Source organism: Homo sapiens, chromosome 20 (assembly GCF_000001405.40).
Source record: "Homo sapiens chromosome 20, GRCh38.p14 Primary Assembly".
Lineage (NCBI taxonomy): Eukaryota > Metazoa > Chordata > Mammalia > Primates > Hominidae > Homo > Homo sapiens.
The window spans coordinates 36,648,255-36,674,733 of record NC_000020.11 but is presented as its reverse complement, the minus strand read 5'-3'; the positions used below and the strand labels follow the sequence as shown (position 1 = coordinate 36,674,733).

Sequence of the window (26,479 nt, the reverse complement as noted above, 5' to 3'; positions counted from 1 at the left end):
CCCAGCTACTCGGGAGGCTGAAGGGAAAGGCTTGCTTGAGCCCAGGTGTTCAAGGTTGCAGTGAGCCATGATCATGCTACTACAGTCCTGCCTGGGTGACAGAGAGAGACCTTGTCTTAAAAAAAAAAAAAAAAAAAAGCTTTATTGATACTCAAACCATGAGATTCAATAAGTCCATATCTAGGAACTTTTTTGAAAGGTAGTTAGTGATCCTTAAAAAGACTTAAAGAGGGCTGGGCGTGGTGGCTCACACCTGTAATCCTAGCACTTTGGGAGGTCGAGGTGGGCGGATCACCTGAGGTCAGAAGTTCGAGACCAGCCTGACCAACATGGAGAAACCCTGTCTCTACTAAAAATACAAAAATTAGCCAGGTGTGGTGGCACACGCCTGTAATCCCAGCTACTGGGGAGGCTGAGGTAGGAGGAGAATCACTTGAACCCGGGAGGCAAAGTTTGCAGTGAGTCAAGATTGCACCACTGCACTCCAGCCTGGGTGACAGAGTGAGACTCCATCTCAAAAAAGAAAAAAAAGATTTAAAGAGATGGATAATAAATTTTTAAAAAAGGTAACACCTATGTAGTGCTTACTGTGTACCAGGCACTGTTCTTAAATGTTTTTTTGTTTTTGAGACGGAGTTTCACTCTTGTTGCCCAGGCTGGAGTGTGCAGTGGCGTGATCTCGGCTCACTGCAACCTCTATCTCCCAGGTTCAAGTGATTCTCCTGCCTCAGCCTCCTGAGTAGCTGGGATTACAGATAACGTGCCACCACGCCCAGCTAATTTTTGTATTTTTAGTAGAGACAGGGTTTCACCATGTTGGTCAGGCTGGTCTTGAACTCCTGACCTCATGATCCACCCGTCTTGGCCTCCCAAAGTGCTGGGATTACAGGTGTGAGCTACTGCGCCCGGCCAAATGTTTTAGATATACTTAACTTTTCAGCCTCAGGACAATCCATTGGTATCATTACTATCCTACAGAGACATTATTTACTTAAAATTACACTGCTAGTAAATTGCAAACCCAGAATATTCATTAAAGCATTGTTTTAATGCTTTAAAGTATTCATTAAAGTGGGCGGATCACTTGAGGTCAGGAGTTCAAGACCGGCCTGGCCACCTGGCCAACATGGTGAAACCCATCTCTACTAAAAATACAGAAACGTAGCCAGGTGTGGTGGTGCACGCCTGTGTTCCCAGCTACTCGGGAGCTGAGGTTGAAGAATCACTTGAACCTGGGAGGTGGAGGTTGCAGTGACCCTGGATTGCACCACTTCACTCCAGCCTGGGTGATAGAACAAGAGAACGAGACCCTGTCTCAAAAAAAAAGAAAACAAACAAATGATGTCTTTTGTATTCTGTTTTTTCGTAATTTCTTGTGATAAGCATATTTTTATTAAAACTTAAAATATTCTAGTCATCAGCAAACTAGATTCTAAATCATTTATCCATCTCTTCCTATGTTTACATTTTGGAGAAATGAGGTATTTCTTAGCTAAAACACATTAACAGTGCTATTGCCAGATGCTATGGAAATTCCTTCTCACAGCCTGGCTTATTTAAAATATGTCCTGGCTGGGCGCAGTGTTTCACATTGGTAATCCCAGCACTTTGGGAGGGTGAGGCAGGAGGATTGCTTGAGCTCAGGAGTTCAAGACTACCCTGGGCAACACAGTGAGACCTCGTCTCTACAAAAATTTAAAAAATTAGCCTGGCGTGGTGGTGCACAACTGTAGTCCCAGCTACTTGGGTGGCTGAGGCCGGAAAATCGCTTGAGCCTGGGAGGTCAAGGCTTCAGTGAGCTATGATGGTGCCACTGCACTCCAGCCTGGGTGACAGAGAGAGACCCTGTCAATCAATCGTGTCCTAATTCTTTCTTAATATGTGGGTACATTTTTTTTTTTTTTTGAGACGGAATCTTGCTCTGTTGCCCAGGGCGGAGTGCAGTGGCATGATCTCGGCTCACTGCAACCTCCACCTCCTGGGTTCAAGTGATTCTCCTGCCTCAGCCTTTTGAGTAGGTGGGACTACAGGCGCACACCACCACGCCTGGCTAATTTGTATATTTTTAGTAGAGACAGGGTTTCACCATGTTGGTCAGCCTGGTCTCAAACTCCTGACCTCAGGTGATCCGCTGGCCTCGGCCTCCCACAGTGCTGGGATTACAGGCATGAGCCACCACGCCCAGCCTACTTTTCTATAGTTCATAACCTGTGCATCACTGATAACCTATGTGAAGATTTCAGGACTTCTTTCTTCCTCAGTCTTTCTGGAACTATATGATCCTACTCCAGGCATAGCCATGTCTGTCTCCCTCAGTGCCTCTTCTCCATTCTTACCCCCAATTCAGTACTTCATCCCTGATCAGCAGTACAGGTTCAGCATAAAACCAAGGAAGAAGGCCGAACAGGAATCAGCAACATAATTTGAGTTGGAAATTTTTCTGAAAATAGACTACAGTATGCAGATTTACACAGATTGCTGCATTTATTAGACTGTGAGATGCATCATTTTGAAAAGGGAAAAATTAGGAGAAAAATGTTTAAAACTCAAGAACATTCTGTAAACAACTCATTTCCTCCCACTCCCTGAAATGAAGATAGCAAAAACTGGAAGAAAGAGGAAAAAAATTGTTTTTGTCTCTTGGAAGTCATGGGAGTGATTGTTAAGTTAGTCCTTATCAGCCATAAATCCAGTGTAAATACAGAAATACAGACAGGAATAAAGTAGCAAACAGCCGTGAGGTCTAGGTCTCAGGCTTTCAAAGAAGGAATTGACATTGTCCTTCCAGTCCCCTATTTCATAGCAGGCTTTATTATTACCCTGCAAAGGAGACTTAGTTTTTCTGACTTGTTTCTCATCTCTATGTTTCTTTGAAACCACCATCTCATGAAATGTATAACACTGAATTGTGGGGTTTTTTTTTTTTTTTTTTGAGACGGAGTCTCACTGTGTCGCCCAGGCTGGAGTGCAGTGGCGCAATCTCGGCTCACTGCAAGCTCTGTCTCCCAGGTTCATGCCATTCTCCTGCCTCAACCTCCCGAGTAGCAGGGACTACAGGTACCTGCCACCACACCTGGCTAATTTTTTGTATTTTTAGTAGAGACAGGGTTTCACCGTGTTAGCCAGGATGGTCTCAATCTCCTGACCTCATGATCTGCCCGCCTCAGCCTCCCAAAGTCCTGGGATTATAGGCGTGAGCCATCGCACCTGGCCAAGGGTTTTTCATTTGTTTTTAAAGAGATAACATATATAATAAAGTGCACTCATTTTAATTGGGCAGCTTGATAAATTTTTGCATATGCTTACATTCTTAACACAGAGTTTTTATCTTTTCAGCTCTCTGGCCTGACAACCAATGTTGTGGACATTATTTTGGCTCATCACTTTGGGCAGGTAAGTACCTGTTCCACCCAGAAGAGCTGTGTTTATTGGCTTGCATGCAAATTCTTATTTTACCTTAGGAAAGAAGGGCTGCCTTAGAATTTACCTGATCCTAGCAAGTAACAGTTCCAATGTAGTCTGAAAGGCATGTGGCCCTGCAAAGGTGAATCTTTAACTCATTGCCACATAGCTGTTGACATGTGGAGCTATGAGAGAAGACAGCATCTCCTGCTACCTGTTCCTGTAAGTAGAATGCCATCTGTTAATGTTTGACATCACGTGCCTCCCCAAACATCTTTAGAGCCATTAGGAGGTCTGGGAAAGGCTTCACAGAAATAGAAATTTCAGGGGGAAAAACCTTGAAATAATAGTGCTAAAAGAAGCTTAGAGATTATCTTGTTCAAGCCCCATGTTTTTCAACTGGTGAGGAAACAAGTCTTCACAGAAAGTGGCAGTTATCGTGTTCATAATTGCTGGGTAGGGGAGGGAGCTTAATTGGTAGGTGAGGGGGAACCTGGTCTTCTTCAAAGGGAAAAGTGAGTTGGGTGACTGACAAAGGAGTGATGGAGTAAATGAGCAGTGAGGTCAGAAAGCTGTGAGGTGTCTAGAATGGGGAGACGAGAGTGGGTGCTCAATTGTTTTCTGCTTAATTTTAAATGTTATCTGAAGGAAAATGGCAGATGGGAAGAAAACTAGCATTTATCGAGTACTGATTATTTATAATACTTTAGATGTGCAAACCAAGTTGTTTTTTACATGGTTCTATTAGTCTGATTTTAAGATAGGGAAACCAAAGACCAGAGAGGCAACATAACTTGCCACCACTATCCAGATTGTAAGTGTGGAGCTGACATTTGAATCCAGGTCAGGCCAAGTCCAAAATCCACAGTCTTTTATTTCATCATATTTTTATCAAAGTTACAAATTCACATATATTTTAGAGTAGAGAAGTTCTATAGGGCTTATTACAAAGAATCTGTCACCTACCCCATATTCTGCTTTTTAGTGGCAACCACTTTAATTCTTCCAGCTGACTCCTTTGAGTTTTGCCTCCATCTTGCCCTCTCTTTAATTGAGGTAATACTTACAGTGTAATGCACACATCCTAAGTGCACCTCAGTGACCATTTACTGATGTATATAGTTTCATGTAACTACCACCCAGAACACAAAACATTTTCATCACCCCACAAAGGTTTCCTCATTATCCTTTCCCACTCAATAATTCCCCACCCCAAACAAGATTTTCACTATTCTGTTACCTCCATAGATTAATTTTGACTGTTCTGAAACTTCATATAAATGGAATGACAGAGTGTGTACTTCTCTGAGTCTGGCTTCTTTTGCTTAACATACTGTCTTGAGATTCATCCATGTCATTCCATGTGTCAGTAGTTCATTCTTTTTTATTACTGTGTAGCAGCAGTTCATTGTATTAATATACTACAAATTAGGGGTCAGGCGCAGTGGCTCTACATCTGTAATCCCAGCACTTTGGGAGGCTGAGGTGAGCAGACCACTTGAGGTCAGGTGTTTGAGACCAGCATGGCCAACATGGTGAAACTCTGTCTCTACTAAAAATACAAAAATTAGCGGGATGTGGTGGTGTATGCCTGTAGTCCCTGCTACCTGGGAGGCTGAGGCAGGTCCGCCATAGTGGGACCCTGTCTTTATAAAAATTCAAAAATCGGCCGCGCGCCATGGCTCACGCCTGTAATCCCAGCACTTTAGGAGGCCAAGGCAGGTGGATCACCTAAGGTTGGGAGTTCGAGTCCAGCCTGACCAACACGGAGAAACCCTGTCTCTACTAAAAATACAAAATTAGGCTGGGCACGGTGGCTCATGCCTGTAATCCCAGCACTTTGGGAGGCCGAGGCAGGTGGATCACGAGGTCAGGAGTTCAAGACCAGCCAGGCCAACATGGTGAAACCCTGTCTCTACTAAAAATACAAAAAAAATTAGCCACGTGTGGTGCACGCGCCTGTAGTACCAGCTACTTGGAAGGTTGAGGCAGGAGAATTGCTTGAACCCAGGAGGCAGAGGTTGCAGTGAGCTGAGATCGCACCATTGCACCCCAGCTCTGGGCGACAGAGCAAGACTCCATCCCAGAAAAAAAAAAAAAATACAAAATTAGCCGGGTGTGGTGGCACGTGCCTGTAATCCCAGCTACTCGGGAGGCTGAGGCAAGAGAATTTCTTGAACCCAGGAGGTGAAGGTTGCGTTGAGCCGAGATCGCGCCATTGCACTCCAGCATGGGCAACAAGAGCGAAACTCTGTCTCAAAAAAAAAAAAAAATTCAAAAATCAGACGGGCTTAGTAGCCATGCCTGTGTTCCCAGCTACTTGGGAGGCTGTGATGGGAGGATCACTTGAGCCCATAATTCGAGACCAGCCTGGGCAACATAGCAAAAAGAAATACTACTTCATATAAGCCTCTGAGGGGAAAGCTAAGGCCAGTATTTAATAATTTCTGAAAAGCAAGAACATCCTCACTATATATATAGTTACATATATATATATATTTCTCTCGCTATATATACAATTTATCTCTCTCTATATATAACTATGTATATATATAACTATGTATGTACATATATATAAAAAATATATGTTTAATTTAAAACATATGAGGTCATAGTGGATTGTCATAAGACTGAAGAGTTCATTTAAAATTTAAGCATCCAGGCTGGTCTGAAGGTAGGGAATTATCTGAATTGATTGTTCACAGTTAGTTACAGATTGAATTCCCTGTTCCACTCTTTCCCCTTTCTCACCACTGCTCTTGACCAGTCAAAAAGATAATAAAAATTAAAAATAAATTTTAAAACATGTAAGCAAGTTAATGCTTGTATTAATTTGAAATGGAAACAAACATGGTTTTTAAACATGAATAATGCTCAACTTCACCAATAAGAGAAAAAAATTAAAAATACGTTTGTACTAGCAAGGATGTGGGAAGATGGGTAGTGTAAATAAATGAGATAGCTCTATATATCCGGATAAGGAATGATCTCTACCATACTTTACAAGGGAAAGCAAGTGTAGAACAATATCTAGAGGACTATAATTTGTGTTTTTAAAAAGATGGGAGTCTGTTTATTTGTTTGTTTGTTGAGACAGGGTCTTGCTCTGTTGTCCTGGCTGGAGTGCAGTGGTGCCATCTTAGTTCGCTGCAGCCTCGACCTCCTGGGCTCAAGCCATCCTCCTCCTTCAGCCTCCTGAGTAGCTAGTACTACAGGCACGTACCACCACACTAAGCTAGTTTTAAATTTTTTTGTAGAGATGGGGGTCTCACTATGTTAACCCACGCTGGTCTCAAACTCCTGGCCTCAAGAGATCCTCCTGCCTCAGCCTCCTAAAGTGCTGGGATTACAGGCATGAGCCACCACACCTGGCCTGTCATTTGGTATTCACTTTTCTTATTATAATACCTTTAGAATGAGACTGGGACTCTCACAAAGTTTTCTAGTAGTGATTCGCGTACCCTTCAGTTTCAGGTAGACGCTTGTCAATTTCCAGCTGTATTCTGGGTTCATTTCATCCACATGGTTGTGAAAATGTGAAGAAATTTTTTCCATGTCTCTATTTCTCTAACAAGTCTTGGTGGTGAACTTTACACATTGCCCTGGATTAACGGACTTCTTAATTATCCCTGATATATTTCTTTCCTCCAATGCAATTTCTTTATGCTTAAAACTGCTTATTGATGTTGTGTGTATGCACACACGTATTTACATGTATGCTTATGTACTCAAGAATCTGGCAGCTAGCTCTGATGACATCTGAGAAGGCCAGCAACAGAGTGACCATTAAACAGTGGGTGGTGGAGAGGGAGACTTTTCACTGCATAGACCATTTTGTTTCTCTCGTATTTTATACCTTTAAAAGTATTGGTAATAAGATTAAAATAAATGAGCCAGGCACAGTTGAGTGTGCCTGTTGTCTCAGCTCCCCAGGAGGCTGAGGCAGGAGGATCTTGAGCCCAGGAGTTCCAAGCTGCAGTACATTATGATAGTGCCTGTGAACAGCCACTGCACTCCAGCCTGAGCAGCGTAGTGAGTCCCCATCTCTAAAATAAAATTTAAAAGATTAAAATAAATAATGAATTACTAAATCAATAAAGTGTCATAAACGCAATGGAATATATAATTATACAATGTGTAATATTAAATGGTGGTATATATAGATAGGTAATATGCTGATTATATCAGTGAAGCTATAGATTTATGGTTATTAAAGATTTATGGTTATTAAAAGAAATGTAGCCAGGTGCAGCAGATCACTTGAGGTCAAGAGTTCAAGACCAGCATGGCCAACATGGTGAGACCCCGTCTCTACTAAAAATACAAAAAAATTAGCTGAGCATGGTGGTGCATATCTCTAATCCCAGCTATTCAGGAGGCTGAGGCAGGAGAATTGCTTGAACCCGGGAGGTGGAGGTTGCAGTGAGCTGAGACTGCGCCATTGCTCAGCCTGGGTGACTGAACAAGACTCCATCTTATAAAAAAAGAAAAGAAATGTTACATTCCATTTGTTTTACACTTTATGGTTTATATGTTTATATAACTTTTCTTACTTAATCTTTAAAACAGCCTTGTCAGATAGCTGGTTATTGTCTTCATTTTACAATATCTCTGTTTTTGTGAAGAATGGCAGAACATTAAAAAAACATACAAAGAAATCAGGGTTCAGAGTGACGAGGTGACCTAAGTTCCACAGCTAGTACTTGAATCCATAATAGGTCTTTTGCTGCCCTCATCTGACACAGAATATAGCACTGAACCAGTCTGATGCAAATAATCAGTCATTCAGCCTACCAGTACATCAGTAGTCCCCAGGCTCTGCCCCAGTTCCCATCATGAGCCGCACGATTTGGCTTGTGGTAATGAAAATGCAAACCAAACAAGATGGACTTATTCTGGAGCTCAGAAGCTTACCCATGTCTTCTTTCAATTGTTCTAGGAAGAGTTACAGGCCAACCTGGACCTGATCCAAACCTACAGAATGCATATTGCCCAAGACATCAACCAAGACAACCTGCAGCTCTTCTTGAATTCCTACAATGGGTATAGTTTTTTCCTGTTTCTTCACTTAAATGTAAACAGGTTCTAAAAAGAGGAGGGTGGGAGAAGGAGAGAGGACTGTATCTAATCTTGGGACCAGCTTCTCCGAGGTGAAAATGTGAGCCCCTTCTGGCTTTCTAGAAACATGGACAAAGATTGAGGAAATGGATCAGCTGTAACTTACCCAAAATTATACAGCCAGTAAGGAGTAAAGCCAGATTTTGAACCTTGTCTCTTTAGCTCTTTCCTCTGTATAACAGAGCCTCCCTATTTTTAGTTGAAATCAGAAAGATTAAGCCCTGTGCTAAACTCAGTTACAAGGAAAACACCCCTCCCCCCTCCTCAAAGTGTAAGTCATTCTCTTAAGGAATTTATTCCTGTAAATTAAACACTTAGGGCTGGGCGTGGTGGCTCATGCCTATAATCCCAGCAGTTTGGGAGGCCGAGGTGGGCGGATCATGAGGTCAGGAGTTCAAGACCAGCCTGGCCAACATAGTGAAACCCCATCTCTACAAAAATACAAAAATTAGCCGGGTGTAGTGGCGGGCGCCTGTAATCTCAGCTACTTGGGAGGCTGAGGCAGGAGAATCGCTTGAACCCGGGAGGCGGAGGTTGCAGTGAGCTGAGATCGTGCCACTGCACTCCAGCCTGGGTGACAGACTGAGACTGTGTCTCAAAAAAATACATTAATTAAACACTTAGGACTTGAGAGTTTCAGTGGTGTTGCTGTTGGGTGTTGAGGCTGTCTCCTTGTAGCATCCCAAAGAGTCCTTCAGGGTTGAGCCAAGAGCTTCCTTCCTGCTCCATACCACCCAGGATGCCACTGAAATGGCGACTCAAGAACCAAGTCATAGGGCCTCTTCCCTTCTCAGGTGTGAAGGAAAGATAGTTTCGCATTCCTTGATAAATTTTGGTGTTTATGACCAGAAAATAACCTGAGTTGCTATGACTTTACCCAAAAAGGGCATTGCTTCTGCTTTGTTTTTCTAGACGCAGAGACCTGGAGATCGAAAGACCCATACTGGGCCAAAATGATAACAAATCAAAAACATTAAAGTAAGTTCCTCAGTTTCCTCAGCTGACTTGCCAAATATAGACTAATTTGGTGTTCATAGACTTTCATAGACTAATTTGGTGTTCAGTGGAATTTATGTGCCTATTTGCTGAGTGACACCTCTTACTTTGCCTACCTAGGTGTTCTACTTTACTGGTGGTAGGGGACAATTCGCCTGCAGTTGAGGCTGTGGTAAGTATGTCCTCATGCTGTGAAGATGAATGAGATCAAAATGTAATAAAATGTGTAGGCCAGGTGCAGTGGCTCACGCCTGTATTCCCAACACTTTGAGAGGCTGAGGCAGGAGGATCGCTTGAGCCCAGGAGTTTGAGACCAGCCTGGGCAACACAGTGGGACCCTAACTCTACAATATATATTTTTTTAATTAGCTGGCATGGTGACAGCCTGTAGTCCCAGCTACTCTGGAGGCTGAGGTAGGAGGATTGCTTGAGCTCAGGAGGTCAAGGCTGCAGTGAGCCATGATTGTGCCACTGCACTCCAGCCTAGGTGACAGAGTGAGACCGTGCCTCAAAAAAAAAGTATGTAACACACTGCTGACACACTAGAAACAGTCGGTAAATACTAGTTTTTGTTCTTTCTGATTGCACATATCAGGGTTTGCTCTTTGTCATACATTTTGGAAAATTAATTTATCCTTAGATTTCATTAGATGGGATCAGTTTTTTTCTTGATTGCTTTGTGTTGTGTAGTTCACTTTGTGGCAAGTAGTACAACTAAACACCATTTACTTATTGTCAGATTTCTGACAGCCTCAGCCTTTAATCTGGAATAGATTACCACCATAAATCCAGCAGGCTGGAAGGCCACCTCTGCCTCCTTCTGAAGGACATAGCACTTGGATAAAAATGATATATGCTCATTGTAGAAACTATGAAAAAAATTTAAAAATAGAAGGATGAGGGGAAAATCATGATCCCATTACCTAAAGACAGAGTATTATTTTTTGCCTTACGTAGACCTGATTATATTAAATATACAAGATTTGGGCACCTGACTTAACACTACTGATAGCATTTTTCCATTATATAATCAGTATGTCTGTAGGTTTACCACTATTTATTTAACTTTGTTCTCATATTAATTCTGATTTTGCATTATTAATAATGTTACTGTTGGCCAGGTATGGTGGCTCATGCCTATAGTCCCAGCACTTTGGGAGGCTGAGGTGGGTGGATCACCTGAGGTCAGGAGTTCAAGACCAGCCTGGCCAACATGGTGAAACCCCATCTCTACTAAAAATTAGCCGGGTGTAGTGGCATGCACCTGCATTCCCAGCTACTTGGGAGGCTGAGACAGGAGAATTGCTCAAACCTGGGAGGCAGAGACTGCAGTGAGCCAAGATTGCGCCACTGCACTCCAGCCTGGGCAAGACAGAGAAAGACTCTGTCTCAAAAAAATAAATAAAAATAAAAATAATGTTACTGTTGAACATCCTTAGGAAATCTTTGAATCTTTGATTATTTCCTTGGGATGGATTTCCAGAAGTGGAATTAATGTGTCCAAAATTATACATCTTTACAAAGTCTTTAATACATTTTGCCAGGTTCCTTTCCAGAAAGGATATACCAGTATATTGCCACCAGCACTGTATAAGCATGCCTGTTTCACTGCACACTGTCTAGCATTGAATCTTTTTTTTATTAGTAGTTAATTCGATTGGTTAAAAATAGTATCTCACTGTTTTAATTTGCATTTATTTGATTACAAATGAAGTTGATAGTTCTTCATATGTCTAATTATGTGTTTCCTACAGCATATATAACTTAACTAAATATCTCTGTGAAATTACTTGATTTCTTTGGCTGCCCTAAATAGAGCAAAACATTATGGAGTAAAGCTTTTTGGAAAGGAAGTCTAGCAAATAATCAGAGGTGTAGACATAGTTGAGAAGGTTTGTGGAGTGGGGAAATGTTTGTAGGGTGAGAATATGCAGATGTGAAAGGATAACATTCGCATCTCCCTGAACTGCCCTGTAAAACACTACGTGTCTGTTGTGAAATACATGGCATGACTTGCACATAGAGGCCAATAACCCTCAGTTCCCCTTCCTCAAAAAACATTCCCCAGAGGTAAAAAGGTTATAGTGGTGACCCCAATTTATCAAGAAGCAACTTTATAAAGGTCAGTGTTTTCTGGCTAAAAAGGTGGAGATACATGCTGCCAAACTGTCAAAAGCATTTTTAAATGAACATATATACTTAATACAGGAAAATATTTTTAGAAAATATTCCTAATCAGAATTTCCTTACAATGCTTAGTATTTCTGTTCATCTTGGATCTAGTCATTTGCCTTTTTTAAATTGTGTGGACTTAAAGCAACCTTTGCAGTTATTTTTCAAGACTGTAATAATTTGGCCATATAGATAAGGCCTCTCCCTCTTTCTGATTTCCACATCTTCAGTGTTTATGAGAATTCTGGAGCCCTGTCTATACCACAAGTAGATGCTCTTTCATACACAGTCAAACCTAGTTCCCCTGCCAGAGCATTTTATCCCACAAGTGTGTGGGGATTAAGAGGAATATCCACGCATGGAAGAGCAAGAAGAAACTCTACAAATTCTAGTCATTGTCAGTAACTGCAGTAACTATTCTTGCTTACTTATTCATTCAACATCATATTTTGAGCATCTCCTATTTACTCAGTGCTATGAAGAATATGAAAATGAGTAAGATTCAGGCAGCTGAGGAGAAAGTAGATGTCAAAAACCAGTGGTTGTGGCTCACGCTCGTAATCCCAGCACTTTGGGAGGCCGAGATTGGTGGATCACCTGAGGTCAGGAGTTCCAGCCTGGCCAACATGGCGAAACCCTGTCTCTACTAAAAATACAAAAACGAGCTGGGTGTGATGGCATGCACCTGTAATCCCAGCTACTTGGCGAGAGAATTGCTAGAACCCAGGAAGCGGAGGTTTCAGTGAGCTGAGATCGTGCCACTGCACCCCAGCCTGGGAGACAGAACAAGACTCCATCTCAAAAAAAAAAAAAAAGAAAAAGAAAAAACAGTGATTGTGGTTGTTCTACTAGGTATCAAGACTTCTTATAATGTTGTTGAAATTGCAAAGTAGTGAACCAAGGAAAGCATGATTTATTATGTTAAATCCAGATTTGAGAGTTCACTCTTCCAGAAAATATTTATAGTCTATCTACTATGTTCTAAGCACTGTGCCTAGCAGTTAGGGATCCAGTTTTTAAATTCTACCTTTTAGAGTTAATGCGCATTCTGTAGTGAACGGGTACATTTGTTTGTCACTGCCTGCATTGTCCTTTGTATAGAGCAAATCAAAACTCCGATTTGGTGATCCTGACTTTTATATTATCCCTGATTTTAGAAGAGTTTTGTATACCTGCCTACCCGCAATCCCCAGACTAAAAGTTCATCTGGATTACTGGGTCTTGCCTAGGTAATTTTAACCACTGCTTGCTGCCACTTGCAGTCTATCATGTAGGCCACTGCTCTCTTAAAAACAACTTAGATCCTGTCACTTCAGACACCTTCTGTGGCATCCTACCTTCCACAGTCAGCTCCAGCCTGTGCCCCAGCCTCACTTTCAGTCTACCTCACCTCACACTTGGCTCGGTAGCCATTCCGTTCCACCCCTGGGGCTTTGCTTATGCTTTCGCCTTGATTCTGGAAGTCCTCAAACACTCACCTTTTCCCTTTATCTATCTGTAGAAATCCCACTCCTTTCTGTGTTCACTCAGCTCAGTTGTGAAGTGTTTGCAGTGGTTTCATTTTGCTTTGTATTACATGTTTCACCCTGCTGGATCCAGATTCTAAGCACAGGTTTTGTATGTGTGTTCTTAGCAAACATATAAACGGAGAAATCCAGTTGATCAAAATAGCCCTAAAATAATATGGAACCAACAGATTGTCTCCCCAAAACATTTTCTTTGAGATCCCTGCCTTCATGAACACAAGGGTGCACGATATCAGACATGTGAATGCACAGGGCTGTGATTCTTAATTAAATGACTCCATGAGAGAAAAATGAGAAGAGTTCAACTTTGGACTGGATAGCCAAAGACCTTGAGATAGAAAAGAGTGAGGATATAAAGAATGGCAAACCCACTAAGGAAAGAGGTGAAAAGTGAGGTAAGGGAGGTGCCCAGGGCTTAGTCATTAGAACCAGTTGTACTCAGAAGCCATTAAAAGATCCCAGCAGGAGAGGACCCACGGTCCAGTCCATTTCTCAAAGAAGTAAGGTAACCTACTTTCATGTTATATAGCTAGTCAGTAGGAAGACTTAGATTCAGCTTGTAGTTTTTTAAAGACACGTAACAGATTCAGAAAATTAGATAAGTGAAATTTTTAGATCTGCTCAGAAATATCAAAGTATATCATATAAATATATCTCCCGGGCCGGGCGCGGTGGCTCACGCCTGTAATCCCAGCACTTTGGGAGGCCGAGGTGGGCGGATCACGAGGTCAGGAGATCGAGACCATCCTGGCTAACACGGTGAAACCCCGTCTCTACTAAAAATACACAAAATTAGCCGGGCGTGGTAGCGGGCGCCTGTAGTCCCAGCTACTCGGGAGGCTGAGGCAGGAGAATGGCGTGAACCCGGGAGGCGGAGCTTGCAGTGAGCCGAGATCGCGCCACTGCACTCCAGCCTGGGCGACAGAGCGAGACTCCGTCTCAAAAAAAAAATAAATAAATAAATAAATAAATAAATAAATATATCTCCCACTATGTATTTTGGTAATCTCTTTGGCTGGCTCAGCCTTCTCCAGACTGAGCTGTTGATCTTGCAAGATGATTCTCATACCGAGCTATTTCGTTTTTTTTCCTAGCAACTCATAAAATTATTTTCTTCTCTTTTTTTAAATTTTAGGTCGAATGCAATTCCCGCCTGAACCCTATAAATACAACTTTGCTAAAGGTAATGTGCCTTCTTCCCTCACTTCCAACCCTTATATGTGCTTCAGATTAATCATATTTTCTGGAATAATTGCTTAGAAAGGAGCAAAGCTTCCCTCTCTTTGGTTATCTCATTCTCTTCTTTTTCTTTGAGACAGAGTCCCGCTGTGTTGCCCTGGCTGGAGTGCAGTGGCGCCATCTCAGCTCACTGCAACCTCCACCTCTCGGGTTCAAGCAATTCTCCTGCGTCAGCCTCCTGAGTAGCTGGGACTACAGGCACGTGCCACCATGCCCGGCTAATTTTTCGTATTTTTAGTAGAGACGGGGTTTCACCGTGTTAGCCAGGGTGGTCTCGATCTCCTGTCCTCGTGATCCACCCACCTTGGCCTCCCAAAGTGCTGGGATTACAGGTGTGAGCCACCGCACCCAGCCTTCATTCTCTTTTTAAAATAATCCTTTTGGCCAGGTGCGGTGGCTCACACCTGTAATCTCAGCACTTTGGGAGGCTAAGGCAGTTGGATCACGAGGTCAGGAATTTGAGACCAGCCTAGCCAATATGGTGAAACCCCGTCTCTACTAAAAATACAAAAATTAACTGGGCATGGTGGCCCACGCCTGTAGTCCCAGCTACCTGGGAGGCTGAGGCAGGAGAATCACTTGAACCTGGGAGGCGGAGGTTGCAGTGAGCTGAGATTGCACCACTGCACTCTAGCCTGGGCGACAGAGCAAGACTCCATCTCAAAAATAAATAAACAAATAAATAAAATAAAGCTTTTTTCCTGAATATGTTCTCATTGTAAAACACTGCAAAAAAGAGGAAAGCATATGGAATAAAATAAATTTAAATTATTTGTAATCCTACCACCCAAACCTCTGGTAAAATACTGCTGTCTTTTTCCTATACATTTTTACATCATTAAAATTAGAGACGGGCTGGGCACGGTGGCTCACACCTATAATCCCAACACTTTGGGAGGCTGAGTTGGGCGGATCACTTGAGTCCAGGAGTTTGAGACCAGCCTGGGTGACAGAATGAGACCCTGTCAAAGAGTATTTACAACCCTGTATCTGTTTTCCTCAACTTTATGACATAGCCTTTCCCATGTAACTAAAAACTTTGGCTGGGTGCAGTGGCTCACACCTATAATCCCAGCACTTTGGAAGGCCGAGGTGGGAGGCCAGGAGTTCGAGAGCAGTCTGGGAAACATAGTGAGACTCTGTCTCTACAAAAACAATAAGAAAATTAGCTGGGCTTGGTGGTGCGCATCCGTAGCCCCAGCTACTCAGGAAGCTGAGGCGAGAGGATTCCTTGAGCCCAGGAATTCGAGGATTTGTGCTCCTGATGCTGCACTCCAACCTAGGTGACAGAGTGAAACCCTGTCTCTAAAAAAAAAAAAAAAAAAACTTCGTCAACATGATTTAATATTGTGAGAAGATAATGGATGTAAATTCTGTATATGCAAAATCCTGCTGTATTGGTAAGGAAGCTTTTAGTAACAATTCTTATGATGAGGGTGGATGCATTTTCTTTCTCTTAGGGCAAATACAGACCAACTCTTATGCTAAATATCTAGAGTTAGTATCAAGTGTCTCCCCTTTTGAGTATAACCGAGGCAAGAGTTTCTGCCTGTCATTGTTTCATCTTAGCTTTTCCTAGAGCCTCTACTAAAGTGTTGAGGTAGCTGACCTTCTAGTTTGAACTTGGGAACTTGGACTACTGTAGATTTCAATGCCGATCGTATGTTGCTTACTGCTACATTTTCAGTCTGAAAGACCTCTGCCATCTTCCTTTTCCCTTTGAAGTGTGTTTGAAAGGGAAGTGCTGTTACCACAAACGCCTGTAGTTCCTAGAAATCTAATGTGAAGTTAATGCTCTGAGGTGACCACATTCAAAATGTTCTGCCCTCCAGGCAATTGATGGGCTGGTCTAAAAATTTTGGGGAGGGGCTGGGCATGGTGGCTCACACCTGTAATCCCAGCACTTTGGGAAGCTGAGGCCAGGAGTTCAAGACCAGCCTGCCCAACATGATGAAACCTCATCTCTACTAAAAATACAAAAATTAGCCGGGCATGATGCTGGGCACCTGTAATCCCAGCTACTCCAGAGACTGAGGCAGGAGAATCGCTTGAACCTGGGAGGTGGAGGTTGCAGTGAGCCAAGATTGCACCATTGCACTCCAGCCTGGGCAACGAGAGTGAGACTTTATCTCAAAAAAAATTTTTTTTTAAGTTTATAGTTTCAAATTAGTTTCTCATTTCAGGTTTGAATCAATATACAAAAGCATAAAACTAAACCCTACAATAACCATAGACATAGTTATTTTTCGCAAAAATGCCCATCTACAACACCATAGAATAGAGTGGATAACTCCTATGGCAGATTGAACTGATTCTCAAACCATTTGATAGGTACCCATCTTGGAAATAGTTTCTCCCAGTATTCTCTCTGCATATGGGAACTGTTCTGTGTTCTAATCAGGTTTCAGCTCCTAAACTTCATGAAAATACAGTCTGTGCTGGTTTGGTTTTTTTGTATATTTGTTAAATGTTTGTTTATAATCTTATGCTTAGAATTTTCAGGGGCCTCTCCCTTGTTAATCTCAAACTTCTGCGTCTTCTGTGGCATTCTCCTCAGTAGTAGTCCCCCTTCATAATAAGTTTTAATGCCAGTGAATTGAAACCATGGGGTTCATGTTCCTTTTTAAAAAAAGCCAGTCAGCCTGAAGAATACCATCTGAGTCCAGAGTGTGTAACAGCTGGAAGAAAGAGAGCAGGCCTATGGCCAACATGCCCTAAAAACGCTTTTCTGTGGACAGTAGATTCAAATCACCTGAGATCTTATTAGAAATGTACGTTCCTTTTTTTTTTTTTTTCCTGGAGACGGACTCTGTCGCCCAGGTTGGAGTGCAGTGGCATGATCTTGGCTCACTGCAACCTCTGCCTCATGAGTTCAAGTGATTCTTCTGTGTCAGCCTCCAGAGTAGCTGGGACTACAGGTGTGTGCCACCACGCCCGGCTAATTTTTGTATTTTTAGTAGAGATGGAGTTTCACCATGCTGACCAGGCTGGTCTGGAACTCCTGACCTCAGGTGATCCCCCCGACCTCGGCCTCCCAAGGTGCTGGGATTACAGGTGTGAGCCACTGCGCGCGGCCAGAAATGCACAATCTCGAACCATACCCCAAACCTATCAAATCAGAATCTCTGGGATAGGAATCCAAGAATCTGAGTTTTAACAAGTCCTTCAGGTAATTCCAGGGCACACTAATGAAGCCATACCCTAGAAATCCTTGCACACGTGAGAATAACCAGCTGTAAATGTTTATGAAGTGAAAAGCAGCATTACCAAACCCAGCTATTAGAGGAAAGTGGCTGACTGAGCAAGCCGGCTGAATCAGTATCAGCTCCTGATGGCAGAGTGCCCTTACTCACGGAGGAAAGATAATGTAGAGTTGAAATGGGACTTGGAAAGCTTGATGCACAGAGAAGTTAGGGTCACACTGTTCGAGGGCTCTGAAAGGAACCTTCTTCAGGTGGTTTTCATGGTTGAGAGTAGTGGTTAACTTCACTATCACCTCAACAGAAAATTCCCACCATGGGCCTGAAAGTCAGGGCTTCAGTCTTATTGATAAATAAGTATGTAATAATTATTTCAGATTTTCATCCAAGGTTATAAATGTTTGTACGTAGGTGCATTGAGATGCAAACTTGCAGTTAAACATTAAAACCTAGAATTCAATCTTGTTCTGTTTGAAAGGACTTGGGGTGTTCAGAGCAATTCTCTTAAGGGTAAGTCCCAGCTGACTTGCATATTTTTCCTTTTCTAGATGGCGGACTGTGGGGGACTGCCCCAGGTAGTTCAGGTAAGGAGAATTTTTTTTAAACACCCATTTAATTCTGCTTCTCTGTCTATGCAAAAATTAATGCCCTCTTGTTTTATCCCCCCAGCCTGGGAAGCTCACCGAGGCCTTCAAGTACTTTTTGCAGGGAATGGGCTACAGTGAGTAGTACACAACTTTCTATCTAGCAACGATTTAGGAATATTGGGAGCCAGTTTCACATCTGGGAGCCCACAATTCTTGAGATATAACCTCTGTGGCAGCTAGCCTTAAGCAAAGTAGAAACTGAAATGTTTATGGAACATTCATTTGTCCGTATTTGTAAGCTAACACTCAGCACTTACTTTCATCAGGCAATATATATTCTTTTTTTTTTTTTTTTTTTTTTGAGACAGAGTCTCACTCTGTTGCCAGGCTGGAGTGCAGTGGTGTGATCTCAGCTCACTGCAACCTCCGCCTCCTGGGTTCAAGCGATTCTCCTGCCTCAGCCTCCCAAGTAGCTGGGACTACAGGCATGTGCCACCACACCCGAATAATTTTTGTATTTTTAGGAGAGACGGAGATTCACCATGTTGGCCAGGATGGTCTTGATCTCTTGACCTCATGATCTGCCTGCCTTGGCCTCCCAAAGTGCTGGGATTACATGCGTGAGCTACCGTGCCCAACCTATATATTCTTAATCTAAGAAGTCATTCTGTTATTAGTGCCAATTTATAGAAGAAGAAACTGAGGCTCAAAGAGACTAAGCACATTGCCAAGGGTAAAAATTCAGCTGCAGGGCCATGATTCAAACCCTGACAGTCTGACTCCAGAGCCCACATTTTGAACCCCTGCAGCTTAGGCTGTCCTAGGTGTGAATCTGAAATTATGATTTGCATTTAAACTCAGCTGGTTAATAACTCCTGACCTAGAGAAATGAAATGGAGACTCCAGGAGAAAAGGGCAGTATCCTTGGTAAAGTCTCCTCCACCCCAGGGGACGAACTTGGAGAGTGTTTTAGAGCAAGTCCAAGGGTGTGTCCATATCATATGCCATTGTCCTGGTCTCTTGTATTGTAAGACCTCTGAGCTTTTTCATGGTCACAGAATTATCTACACTTGCTCCTTTCTTGGAGTTTTTAGAAAAACTCTTTCACCCAGGTACAGAGCTCTTTACCCAGTAGGGTGATTTTTCTCCTGTCTTTGGTATTAGTGTGGATAATGGTCATTGGCGAGCTGTCTGGTCAGCTGCTCTGGGCAGCTGGGCCCTGGGTGCAGCCCTGTACCTGCCAGGCAGACCATGTATGTCTTGTCTCAAGTGGCTGTGTCATCCTTGCCTGTGAGCCGCTACCAACCGAGCCCACACCCACAGCCCTGTGGCTCACTGGGAGGAGCAGGAGGCCCTCTCCTAGTCCATTCTTATCCTTTTCCTATGAAATAGCTGATCTTCCAGCCCACTTCTGATCCAAAGCAAGATGACTGTTTATAGCAGAGGGGAAAACAATTGCCTTTGTCTAGTTGAGGAAAGTAACATTTGAGATGTTATTGAAGTATCTGTCAGCCTCACCTCCTCTCTGGGACCTTAAAATAAAATTTTATCCCTGGCTTAGAGTATTCTGTCAGTGTCTACCAGGCAGCTGAGGTTGCCACTTGGCACTCTGGGGTCACTAACCTGCCTTTTCCTGTGTCCATCCTGCTTCCAGTCCCGTATGTGCAGCTCAGTCACCTGAGCACCGAGTCAGGTACCTTCCTCTGTGCTGGCCCTGCCCCGCCTTCCAGTCTCTCCTGGCTGCACTGGCTGCCTGCAGCATGTCCGCGGTCTTCCTATGCAGTGAGAGCCCGATAGAACGTGGCTCAGTACGCCCCAAGAGATTTAGCCTACAGGTCCAGCCCTGGTCCCCCAGGAGGAGGAAAGGATCTGGTTGTAAGGGGCAGGCCTCCTCTTGTCATCCTAAATCCAGGGTCACAGCAGCAGCTGAAACTTGATAGGCAGGGCCCATCTTCCACCACCACCTACTGATCCTTGAATTAACCTCCAGACACAGGAATCCAAGGGCAGCCTTGGCTCTAAATAGGAGGGTCAGAGCCTGTGCCCAGAGAACTCTGCAGATGATAGCACCTTTTGACCCCAGCATTGAAATGACAGCTAGGGGAGTGGCTGCTGCCCAGGACGATAGGCAGGGAGGCTATGCCAGGTAAGGCCCAGTCCCAGCCAAGCTGGAAGGACCTTAGAGTCAAGCAGTGGCAGAACAGGAGTCTGAGTTAAACACCTGCTTCTCTGTCCCTGGCAACCTGTACCTCATCCCTGTGTTGAGGTCAGCTCCAAGCCAATCTGCCCTCCCCTTCACCTGCACCATCCTACAAATCTCCTCCCTGGTAGCAAGGTAGCCTGTGGACACGGATGGTAGTCTCGTTGTATCGGGCTTGCACTGTGTTTGTGAAACACCTTCATACTTGTGTGTGTGTCTTTCTTTTCTTTTGGTTTAGTCTTGCATGCACTGTAGGTTTTGGTTACCTGTTTGGGTTCCCAAAGCCTCCATTCTGTCACTGTCTGAATGGTGTGGGCATAGTTAAGAGGCTATACTCTGGATTTAGGGTTTCCCCTTGTTCTGCGGTGACTACAATCAGCTGAGATTCCAACCAGATCTAAAGGATTAAAGTGGCCTCACATATCGCCACTCACCTAGAGCAAATGATACAAAATGGGGATGGCTATATCTTGTCCTGGGTGTCATGGTAAATGAGTCGGAAAAGCTAAACATAAAGACTTTGATGAGACTCCTAGGTTAGCTGGGCTTAACCGGGGCTTCATCTTCTAGTCCCCTTGGTTCTCTGTTACAGTACCATCTGCCAGCATGACTCGGCTCGCCCGATCACGAACCCACTCAACCTCGAGTAGCCTCGGCTCTGGAGAAAGTCCCTTCAGCCGGTCTGTCACCAGCAATCAGTCAGATGGAACTCAAGAATCCTGTGAGTCCCCTGATGTCCTGGACAGACACCAGACCATGGAGGTGTCCTGCTAAGCAGATGCTCCTCCCCTGGACCATTGCAAGTCCATCCTTCAAATGACCACTCCATAATATAACATTTCATCCAGTAAACTGGCCTCTACTATCTTTAACTCATGCATGGCCACTGAACCTCTCTCTAGTAGCCTGGATTTATCATTCTCTCTGCCTGCCCACCCCCTTTTTTGTATAGCCCAAGAACCACTTCCATGCCATACTGTAACATTCCAACATCTTTAGCTGATCAGATCTCTCCATATCCTCTCTTGCCAGCTTTTTCCCGTGCTCCCCCAACTATGTATCAGATAAGATTCTTTGATCCCGACTCTGTGTGTGCGAGCACGCGTGTCTGTGTTTGTGTGTGCATAGTTCTGTGGTTTTAGACACGCTTTCTTGTAGTGCTTCTGCAAAAAACAAAAAAGGGACTTATTTTGCATTCTCAATGGTGTTTTTAAGGGAATTAGGCAGAACAGATTTCTAGGTTGGGTAGGCCACTGCATTCTCTTTTGTTTGCAAATTGGTCAACAAAATTTGCAAAGTGATTTCAGGAGAGAGCAGCTTTGAGGAATGTGGAAAATCATAATTGCCGTCTGGACCATTGATTGATTGTGACCAGTAGCAGAAGGGTGCCTGTTACATAGAGAGGCTCCTTCTGTCCAAATGAATTTCTGTATACTCTTCTATAAATAAAAGGGAGGAATATATTCTGCTGGAAGCCCATGAACCATCGCTGAGGTTCTGATACAACATAGAGTTTTTTCCAAGGAGTGAATGTGGTTTAATTACTGGACTCTCTTAGCACAGGAAGGTGGAAACAAAATGCCAGGCCTCTGCTCTGAAGAGCAAAACTGCTGTCGCTGCAGTATCTGATACCAGACATCCACATATCCACAAGAAGTGCCTCTTAGGTCTGTGACAGAGAGTGTGTCTCCATTCCTCAGTTCCCAGAAAGGGGAGAGGTTTGGCCTAAAAAGCATGTAGATGGGGGAGAAATGGGTGGGGGGAGAGGAACAGCCATTAACACAGTATCATGTTTAACAAGTATAGCCTTGATTTCAGTAGATGTAATGGAAGCCAAATTAAATTGATACAGAACCCATTTCTCAGAGTCTTTTTTTTTTTTTGAGACAGAGTCTCGCTGTTACCCAGGCTGGAGTGCAATGGCGCAAACTTGGCTCACTGCAACCTCTGCCCCCTGGGTTCAAGCGATTCTCCTGCCTCAGCCTCCCGAGTAGCTGAGACTACAGGCACCTGCCACCATACCCAGCTAAGTTATGTATTTTTAGTAGAGATGGAGTTTCACCATGTTGGCCAGGCTGGTCTCAAACTCCTGACCTCAGGTGATCCACCTGCCTCAGCCTCCCAAAGTGCTGGGATTACAGGCATGAGTCATTGCTCCCAGCCATTAGAAAGATTGTTAATCCTATGAACTCCCTTTTGTAGGAGAGAAAGGGCCAATCTGTAGGGGTAGCCCTGTCCAGGTAAAGTTGTTTTCAGCCTCATGTCTACTGTTAGGTGAGGGAGTCACAGCCAGACAGAGAGTATTGCTGGAGGGTGAGAGAATTGTGGAGACCAACTACCACATAGCAAGAGCCCAGCTCTTGGGAGCATTGAGATGTAAGCTCAGGGTTACACAGTTCCAAATCTTGGGAAGGGGCTTTTCAGACAGACTGTTTGCTTTCTGCTGAGATAAGGAATGCATCACTCTGCCAGAGTATGACTTTTTACAGATTATTAAATAAAGCTGCATATGTCTCATTGTTACCTGATTGCTGGTGTTATTTCTTTCAAGCCATTCACTGGGGTTCAGGGCAGGACCGAGTTGCTGTATGCTGGTTCTGTGTTGCCATTTTCACATGTGATTGCTTATCCACCAAGCGACACTGTCCATTTATAGGAGGAAATGAAGACTGATGATAAATCATTTGCCCAAGGTCATGCAGCCAATAAGTCCAGCCAGGATCAAATCCCAGGGAATTATGCAGAATTCTATCTGATGTGTCTGTATTTCCCTCAAGCCAAAAATCGTGAGAAGCCTGACAGTGTTGTTTGTGATGGAGGAGGAGAAGCTGAGGTCTTGAGAAGGTGGTCCACGTCACAGCTCCACCACCTGTGTGGGATTGCTGGGTTCCACCTCTCATTTTAATAATCTGCAACCACTTGTCTTCTAAGAGACCAGCTTGTGTTTCTCCAGAAATGGCTATATTTGTACCCATCAAGAATAATTTCAGACCGAGTGCAGTGGCTCACGCCTGTAATCCCAACACTCTGGGAGGCCAAGGTGGGCGGATCACCTGAGGTCAGGAGTTAAAGACCAGCCTGGCCAACATGGTGAAACCCTGTTTCTACTAAAAATACAAAAATTAGCCAGGCATGGTGGTATGTGCCTGTAATCCCAGCTACTTGGAAGGCTGAGGCAGGAGAATCACTTGAACCCGGGAGGTGGAGTTTGCAGTGAGCCAAGATCACACCACTGCACTCTAGCCTGGGCTACAGAGCGAGACTGTCTCAAAAAAAAAAAAAAAAAAAAAAGCCAGGCATGGTGGCTCACGCCTGTAATCCCAGCACTTTGGGAGGCCAAGGCGGGCGGATCACTGGAGGTCAGGAGTTCGAGACCAGCCTGACCAATGTGATAAAACCCTGTCTCTACTAAAAATACAAAAAAAAAAAAAAAAATTAGTCGAGCGTGGTGGCATGCACCTGTAATCCCGCTACTCGGGAGGCTGAGACAGGAGAATCGCTTGAACCCAGGAGGTGGAGATTGCAGTGAGCCAAGATTGCACCATTGCATTCCAGCCTGGGTAACAAGAGTAAAACTCCGTCTCCAGAAAAAAAAAAAAAAAAAAAAAAAAAGAATAATTTCAGAAGACCACCATCTCAGATGAGTTTTCAGTAACCCGGGGCAAGTGCCAGCAAAAGTGCATGTGGATTGCTACATCTGTGACAGGCACTCGTAAAAAATGACATGAACCACCGGGCGCGGTGGCTCACGCCAGTAATCCCAGCACTTTGGGAGGCTGAGGTGGGCAGATCACGAGGTCGGGAGATCGAGACCATCCTGGCTAACACAGTGAAACCCCATCTCTACTAAAAATACAAAAAATTCGTCGGGCGTGGTGGTGGGCACCTGTAGTCCTAGCTACTCAGGAGGCTGAGGCAGGAGAATGGCGTGAACCCGGGAGGCGGAGCTAGCAGAGAGCGGAGATAGCGCTACTGCACTCCAGCCTGTGCGACAGAGAAAGACTCTTGTCTCAAAAAAAAAAAAAAAAAAGACATGCCCATTCTGGCAGAGGAGTTGAAACAAATGCATATGAACAGATAAAGATTACCAGGCTGAAGCCTTACAATGCAGGCCAATGCTCCACAGAATGCTGACATGGGAAGGAACTGATCTGATGGCCTCAGTTGCCTTTTTTTTTGTTTTTTGTTTGGTTATGTTTTGTTCTGAGATGGAGTCTCGCTCTGTCGCCCAGGCTGGAGTGCAGTGGCATGATATCCACTCACTGCAACCTCCTCCTCCTAGGTTCAAGCAATTCTCCTGTCTCAGCCTTCTGAGTAGCTGGGACTACAAGCATGTGCCACCACGCCCAGCTAATTTTTAGTAGAGATGGGGTTTCGCCATGTTGACCAGGCTGGTCTGGAACTCCTGACTTCAAGTGATCTGCCCGCCTCAGCCTCCCAAAGTGCTGGAATTACAGGCATGAGCCCCTGCGCTGGGCCCTTTTTTTTTTTTTTTTTTTTTTTTTTTTTGAAACAGTGTCTCACTTTGTCACCCAAGCTGGATGGCAGTGGTGTAATCATAGCTCACTGCAGCCTCAAACTTCTGGGCTCAAGCCATCCTCCCACTTCAGCCTCTTGAGGAGCAGGGACTACAGGCATGCACCACCATGCCTGGCTAATTTTTTATTTTTTGTAGAGACAGCATATCACGTTGTTGCCTAGGCTAGACTTGAACTCCTGACCTCAAGTGATCTTGCCTCAGCCTCCCAAAATGCTAGGGTTACAGGTGTGGGAATCAGCCCTTTATTGAGCATCTATATATAGGCCAGGCCCTTAATGCCTTCCTATAAATTTCCTTCTATTGATCCAGTGAGATACATGCTATTCCCATTTTATAGATGCAGAAACAGGTCCAGAGATAACTAGCTTGTAAATGGTCACAAAACTAGTAAGTGGCTATATGGGAAACAGTTTCCTCCACTACACTCAACACTTCCAACACTGCTGTGACCAAATGTGTGAGCTTTTTTCCCATATACCAACCAGTTCTCCAACACCCCAGACACTGAGTAGGTGTCCTAAATTACCACACCAGCTTCCTGGAGTTAGTACAGACCCTACAGGTTAAGGGTTCAGGCCCACAAGACCGCCCCCTGCTTTAGATGCCAGGTGCAAGCAGTGGATCCCCAGGTTATTCATACTTCTGTCCAACCTGGCTACAAACTAGACCCCCTCCCTCAGGTTTGATAGTTCGCTAAGATGGCTCACGGAACTCAGGGAAACACTGAATTTACCGGTTTATTATTCAAAAGGATATGAGGCTGGGTGCAGTGGCTCACACCTGTAATCCCAGCAGTTTGGGAGGCAGGAGGACTGCTTGAGCCCAGGAGTTCAAGACCAGCCTGGGCAATATAGTGAGACCCTGTCTGTATTCTAGAAACAGAAAAAAATAAAATAAAAAGGATACGATAGGCTGGGCACGGTGGCTCACGCCTGTAATCCCAGAACTTTGGGAGGCCGAGGTGGGTGGATCACGAGGTCAGGAGATTGAGACCATCCTGGCTAACACGGTGAAACCCCGTCTCTACTAAAAATACAAAAAGTTAGCTGGGTGTGGTGGTGGGTGCCTGTAGTCCCAGCTACTCAGGAGGCTGAGACAGGAGAATGGTATGAACCCGGGAGGCGGAGCTTGCAGTGAGCCGAGATTGCGCCACTGCACTCCAGCCTGGGTGACAGAGCAAGACTCTGTCTCAAAAAAAAAAAAAAAGGATACGATAAAGGATACAGGTAAATGGCCAGATAAAGAAGTATGTAGGAGGCTGGACACAGTGGCTCAAGCCTGTAATCCCAGCACTTTGGGAAGCCAAGGCGGGTGGATCACCTGAGGTCAGGAGTTCGAGACCAGCCTGGCTAACATGATGAAACCCCGTCTCTACTAAAAATACAAAAATTAGCTGGGCGTGGTGGTGCACACCTGTAATCCCAGCTACTCAGGAGGCTGGGGCAAGAGGATTGCTTGAACCCGGGAGGCAGAGGATGCGGTGAGCCTAAATTGTGCCA

The 26,479-nt window shown here is 44.2% G+C and overlaps 1 protein-coding gene across 12 annotated transcripts in view; it reads left to right on the top strand.

Annotated features, from left to right (window-relative positions):
• The window catches only part of NDRG3 (NDRG family member 3), a 94,320-nt gene extending 71,357 nt beyond the window's left edge, over nucleotides 1-22,963 (top strand). For 6 of the 12 annotated variants that reach the window (XM_011528927.4, XM_011528928.4, XM_006723837.5 and 3 more), the window contains 9 exons: nucleotides 3,337-3,393; nucleotides 8,342-8,445; nucleotides 9,433-9,498; nucleotides 9,637-9,688; nucleotides 14,350-14,397; nucleotides 18,202-18,237; nucleotides 18,323-18,374; nucleotides 19,895-19,933; nucleotides 21,033-22,963. In XM_011528927.4, coding sequence (XP_011527229.1) covers nucleotides 3,337-3,393; nucleotides 8,342-8,445; nucleotides 9,433-9,498; nucleotides 9,637-9,688; nucleotides 14,350-14,397; nucleotides 18,202-18,237; nucleotides 18,323-18,374; nucleotides 19,895-19,933; nucleotides 21,033-21,214 — 636 coding nt within the window. In that variant the 3' untranslated portion in view covers nucleotides 21,215-22,963. The remainder of the gene's footprint in view (nucleotides 1-3,336; nucleotides 3,394-8,341; nucleotides 8,446-9,432; nucleotides 9,499-9,636; nucleotides 9,689-14,349; nucleotides 14,398-18,201; nucleotides 18,238-18,322; nucleotides 18,375-19,894; nucleotides 19,934-21,032) is intronic. The other 6 variants (NR_038370.2, NM_022477.4, NM_032013.4 and 3 more) reach the window with 1 other exon arrangement.